This window comes from Homo sapiens, chromosome 4 (assembly GCF_000001405.40).
Source record: "Homo sapiens chromosome 4, GRCh38.p14 Primary Assembly".
NCBI classification, from domain to species: Eukaryota; Metazoa; Chordata; class Mammalia; order Primates; family Hominidae; genus Homo; species Homo sapiens.
In genome coordinates this window covers 153105339-153111338 of record NC_000004.12, presented here as the reverse complement: position 1 = coordinate 153111338, position 6000 = coordinate 153105339, and the positions used below count along the sequence as shown (strand labels likewise).

At 44.8% G+C, this 6000-nt stretch overlaps 1 annotated feature.

Annotated features, from left to right (window-relative positions):
* Positions 3508–4008: an enhancer, noted in NCBI's record as "H3K4me1 hESC enhancer chr4:154028483-154028983 (GRCh37/hg19 assembly coordinates)". NCBI's record gives its function as "activates a minimal SCP1, AML or CMV promoter by ChIP-STARR-seq in primed H9 embryonic stem cells {active_cell/tissue: H9 hESC(primed)}" and the evidence as "EXISTENCE:reporter gene assay evidence [ECO:0000049][PMID:30033119]".

The window sequence follows — 6000 nt, the reverse complement described above, 5'->3', positions numbered from 1 at the left end:
GATGATGAATGTCTGTCACTTTCATGATCTGAAGAAAAAAAGGAAGAAAATTGGTCCTAACGCACTTCTCAAATACTTGTTTCCCCTCTCTCTGATAGGAGTATTTGGAGAGATTCTCATGGTTGCCTCTGGCTCCCAGTAGGTGTGAGACCCCATTCCCCTCCAGCTCAGCCTTCTCATCTCCCAGCTCCCTTCCCACTCCTGCGCTCTGCCCTGCTCAAGGCAGGTGCCTCTCCAATGTGAGCCCTAACTGTCCCTGCAACACCGAATCCAAGGATCTGGGCTTGGAATGACTGTGTGCTCATCTGGCCCAACCTGGGTCAGTGAATCATTTCTACAATGTCCTAGACGAGTGACCTCCTGGACAAGGTCTGTTGCCTTTTGGGTGTGACACCCACCACGTGTGCAGCTTTTTTTTTTTTTCTTCTAAGACTTCCGGCCTTCACCTGGTGCCTTTAAGGGTGTCCAGGGCACTCTGCCATCATTCCTCTGGCTGCTCCTCAGTGGGTGGCGCAGTGACCCACTGGGCCCTCCCTTCCTTCCCAGCACCCTCCACTCCTCTCCAGCTCCCCCATCTCCTCTTGATCCCTGGCCTCAGATGCCCTTTCTGGCACTTCCCCTGTTCTTGGGTCTCAGCCGGTATTAACTTGTCTTGCTCCCTTGGGTTCATCCTTAGTGTCCGGTTCCTTCTGCTCCATCCTACCCCCCACAGGATGCCCCAGCCTCTCTTGGACTCTTTGGGACTGTCTATTTCACCTCCTCCCTGATTGGTCTTTGGAATCAGAGAGATGACCAGGGAAGATTTGGAGAGAAAACTTCTTTTTTTGTGGGGGGACGGAGTCTCGCTCTGTCGCCCAGGCTGGAGTGCAGTGACGCAGTTTCGGCTCACTGCAAGCTACACCTCCCGGGTTCACGCCATTCTCCTGCCTCAGCCTCCCGTGTAGCTGGGACTACAGGCACCTGCCACCACACCCGGCTTATTTTTTGTATTTTTAGTAGAGATGGGGTTTCACCGTGTTAGTCAACTTCTTATGTTGCTCCAGGAATTTGCATTCAGTTCAAACCGACCTACCTTAAAAACTTTTTAAATCTTAATTGGTTTCAAGCCATTTATAAATATGTTTGCATGTTATCTCTGCTTTTTGTAACTTTTATTTTCAGTTCAGGGATATATGCGTAGGTAGTTATGTAGCTAAACTTGTGTCACAGGAGTTTGTTGTACAGATTATTTTGTCACCCAGGTACTAAGAGTAGTACCCAATAGCTGTTTTTTCTGCTCCTCTCCCTTCTCTCACCCTCCACCCTCAAGTAGGCCCCAGTGTCTCTTGTTCCTCTCTTTGGGTCCATGTGTTCTCATCATTTAGCTCCCACTTAGAAGTGAGAACATGTAGTATTTGGTTTTCTGTTCTTGCGTTAGTTTGCTAAGGATAATGGCTTCCAGCTCCATCTATGTTCCTGCAAAGAACATGATCTCATTCTTTGTTATGGCTGCATAGTACGCCACGGTGTATATGTACCGCATTTTCTTTATCCAGCCTGTCATTGATAGACATTTAGGTTGATTCCATGTCTTTGTTATTGTGAGTAGTGCTGCAATGAACATTCATGTGCAGGTGTCTTTATGGTAGAATGATTTATATTCCTCTGGGTGTATACCCAGGAATGAGATTGTTGATTGAACAGTAGTTCTATTTTTAGCTTTCTGAGGAATCACCACACTGCTTTACACAATGGCTGAACTGATTTACATTCCCACCAACAATGTGTAAGTATTCCCTTTTCTCTGCAACCTTGCCAGCATGTGTTATTTTTTGACCTTTTAATAATAGCCACTCTGACATGTAAGATGGCATCTTATTGTGGTCTTGATTTGCATTTCTCTAATGATCAGTGATGTTGAACTTTGTTTTATATGCTTGTTGGCCACATGTATGTCTTCTTTTGAAAAGTGTCATGTCCTTTGCCCACTTTTTTTCTCTCTCTCTCTCTTTTTTTTTTTTTTTGACAGTCTCACTCTGTTGCCCAGGCTGGAGTGCAGTGGTGTGATCTTGGCTCACTGCAACCTTCACCTCCCAGGTTCAAGAGATTCTCATGCCTCAGCCTCCCAAGTAGCTAGCATTACAGGTGTGTGCCTCCACACCTGGCTAATTTTTGTTTTGTGTGTGTTTGTGTGTGTGTGTGTGTGTGTGTGTGTGTGTGTGTTTTTAGTAGAGATGGGGTTTCACCATGTTGACCAGGCTGGTCTCGAACTGGCCTTAAGTGATTTACCTGGCCTCCCAAAGTGCTGGGATTACAGGCATGAGCCACTGTGCCCAGCCTCTTTTGCCTACTTTTTAATGGCTTTTTTCTTGTAAGTTTAAGTTCCCTATAGATGCTGGATATTAGACTTTTGTCAGATACATAGTTTGCAAATATTTTCTCCCATTCTGTAGGTTGTCTGTTTACTCTGTTGATAATTCCTTTTGCTGTATAGAAGCTCTTAAGTTTAATTAGAGCCCATTTGTCAATTTTTGCTTTTGTTGCGATTGCTTTCGGCCTCTTCGTCATGAAGTCTTTGCCCATTCCTATTTGCAGAATGGTATTGCCTAGGTTGTCTTCTAGGGTTTTTAAGTTTTGGGTTTTACATTTAAGCCTTTTATCCATCTTGAGTTGATTTTTGTATATGGTGTAAGAAATCTTCAGCATATGTCTAGCCAGTTATCCCAGCACCTTTTATTGAATAAGGAGTACTTTCCCCATTGCTTGTTTTTGTAAGCTTTGCAAAGATCAGATACTTGTAGGTATGTGGCCTTATTTCTGGGCTCTATATTCTATCCCACTGATCTATGTGTCTGCTTTTATACCTGTACCATGCTGTTTTGGTTACTCATCCATGTAGTACAGTTTGAAGACAAGCAGCGTGATGCCTCCAGCTTTGTTCCCTTTGCTTGGGATTGCCTTGGCTATTTGGGCTCTTTTTTGGTTTCACATGAATTTTAAAATAGTTTTTTTCTAGTTCTGTGAAGAATGTTGTTGATAGTTTGATGGGAATAGCATTGAATCTGTAAATTGCTTTGGGCAGTATGGCCATTTTAATGATATTGATTCTCCCTGTCCATGAGCATGGAATGTTTTCCATTTGCTTGTGTCATCTCTGATTTCTCTGAGTGGTGTTTTGTAATTCTCATTGTAGAGATCTTTCACCTCCCTGGTTAGCTGTATTCCCGGGTATTTTATTCTTTCTGTGGCAATTGTGAATGGGATAGTGTTCCTGATTTGGCTCTTGCCTTGACTGTTGTTGTGTATAGGAATGTTAGTAATTTTTGCATATTGATTTTGTATCCTGAAACTTTGCTGAAGTTGTTTATCAGCTTAAGAAGCTTTGGGGAATGCTCGGACATCCAGGATCATCATGGCAGTGAGAGGGAGGACTAGATTGCAGCTTTGACTTGGATGGACGGAGCAGCATGAGGAGGCTCACATTGTGAATTTTAGCTCCAGAAGAACTGCAGGAATAAACCAGGAATCTTGAGAGGACCCACAGATCCTCTGAAGGAAGCAGACTGCTCCTGCAGGACCCAGGAGACACTCTAAATACTGCGAATGCCCACACTGTGGAAGTGGGAAAGAGACACCCTCCTTTCCCGAACACACACCCCCACTCAGGAAACTGAAGGTCTAGTTTGCAGGAGAAGATTCTGACCTTACCTGGAGCCGAGTCAATTTAGAGAGCCGAGTGAAATACAGGGGTGGAGGAAGCAGTGGGAAAGGCCCTGGGAGCTCGCTGGGTCCCAAGCAGGCCATTCCTGCCTGGCACCACAGGGATCCTTTGGGAGGATGGCCAGCAGTGCAGGGAAAATGCCACAGGGAGAAGGAAGTCTCCAGCTGAACTTTGTAACCTGTTGAGAAGCCTCCTGGCCAGAACTCGGGGGAGGGCACGAATCTGGTGTGCAGACCTGGGGATGGGGGGCGGGGGGACCTAAATAAAGCCTTTTTCTTTTGCAGCCGGGAGGCGTGTAGCCTGAGGCAAGTTCTCAGTTCTGCTTGCCCACTGCCCACTGCCCACTGCCCACTGCCTGGAAACAGACTTGTGCTGCTGGTGGGGACATGATGGAAGTGAGACTGGCCCTTTGGATTGTGTGGGAGCTGGGTGAGGCCTGTGACTGCTGGCTTTTTCCACTTCCCTGATAACCTGTAGGACTCAGCAGAGGCAGCCATAATCCTCCTAAGTTCACAACTCCATTGACCTGGGTACCTCACCCTCATCCCCTACAGCTGCTGCAGCAAGACCTGCCCAAGGAGAGACTGAGCTCAGACTTGCCTAGCCCTGCCCCCACCTGATGGTCCCGCCCTGGTAGCTGAAGACAAAGGGCATATACTCTTGGGAGTTCCAGGACTCTGCCTACTGCTGAGCCCTCACCACACTACCATGCAGATGCTCTCTGGAAAGCACCATCTCCCAGCAGGAGGCCAACCAGCACAAAAATAAAGTATTAAACCACCAAAGCTAAGAACCCTCGCAGAGTCCATTTCACTCCCCTGCCACCTCCACCAGAACAGGTGCTGGTATCCATGGCTGAGAGACCCATAGATGGTTCACATCACAGGAATCTGTGCAGACAAATGCCAGTACCAGCCCAGAGCCTCGTAGACTTGCTCGGTAGCTAGACTCAGAAGAGAAATAACTATCACTACAGCTCAGCTCTCAGGAAGCCACATCCATAGGAAAATGGGGAGAATACTACACATCAAGAGAACACCCCATGGGACAAAAGAAGCTGAACAACAGCCTTCAGCCCTAGACCTTCCCTCTGACAGAGCCAACCCAAAAGAAGCTGAACAACAGCCTTCAGCCCTAGACCTTCCCTCTGACAGAGCCAACCCAAATGAGAAGAAACCAGAAAACCAACTTCGGCAATATGGCAAAACAAGCTCTTTAACACCCCTAAAAAAATCACACTAGCTCACCAGCAATGTATCCAAACCAAGAAGAAATCCCTGATTTACCTGAAAAAGAATTCAAGAGGTTATCAAGCTAAACAGGGAGGCAAAGCCCAGTGGAAGGAAATCAAAAAAATGATACAAGAAGTGAAGGGAGAAATATTGAAGCAAATACATAGCATAAAAAAAAACAATCAAAACTTCAGTAAACATTGGACACACTTGTAGAAATGCAAAATGTACTGGAAGTCTCAGCAATAGAATTGAACAAGTAGAAGAAAGAAATTCAGAGCTTGAAGACAAGGTCTTTGAATTAACCCAATCCAACAAAGACAAAGAAAAGAGGATAAGAAAATATGAACAAAGCCTCCAAGAAGTCTGGGTTTATGTTAAATGACCAAGCCTAAGAATAATCAGTGTTCCTGAGGAAGAACAGAAACCTAAAAGTTTGAGAAACATATTTTGGGGGAAAAATGGAGTAAAACTTCCCTGGCCTTGCTAGATACCTAGACATCCAAATACAAGAAGCACAAAGAACACCTGGGAAATTCATCGCAAAAAGATTATTGCCTAGGCTTAAGAGCTGTGAGACCAAAGTACCAGGTAACATATAAAGGAAAACCTATCAGATTAACAGCAGATTTCTCAGCAGAAATCCTACAAGCTAAAAGAGATTGGGGCCCTATCTTCAGCCTCGTCAAACAAAACAGTTATCAGCCAAGAATTTTGTATCCAGCAAAACTAAGCATTACATAGGAAGGAAAGATACAGTCTTTTTCAGACAAACAAATGCTGAGAGAATTTGACACTACCAAGCCACCACTACAAGAACTGCTAAAAGGAGCTCTAAATCTTGAAACAAATCTTGGAAACACATCAAAACAGGACCTCTTTAAAGCATACATCTCACAGGACCTATAAAACAAAATACAATTTAAAAAGCAAAAGGTACACAGGCAACAAATAGTATGATGAATGGAATGGTACCTCACATCTCAATGCTAACATTGATGTAAATGGCCTAAATGCTCCACTTAAAAGATATAGAATTGCGGAATGGATAAGACTTCACCAACCAAC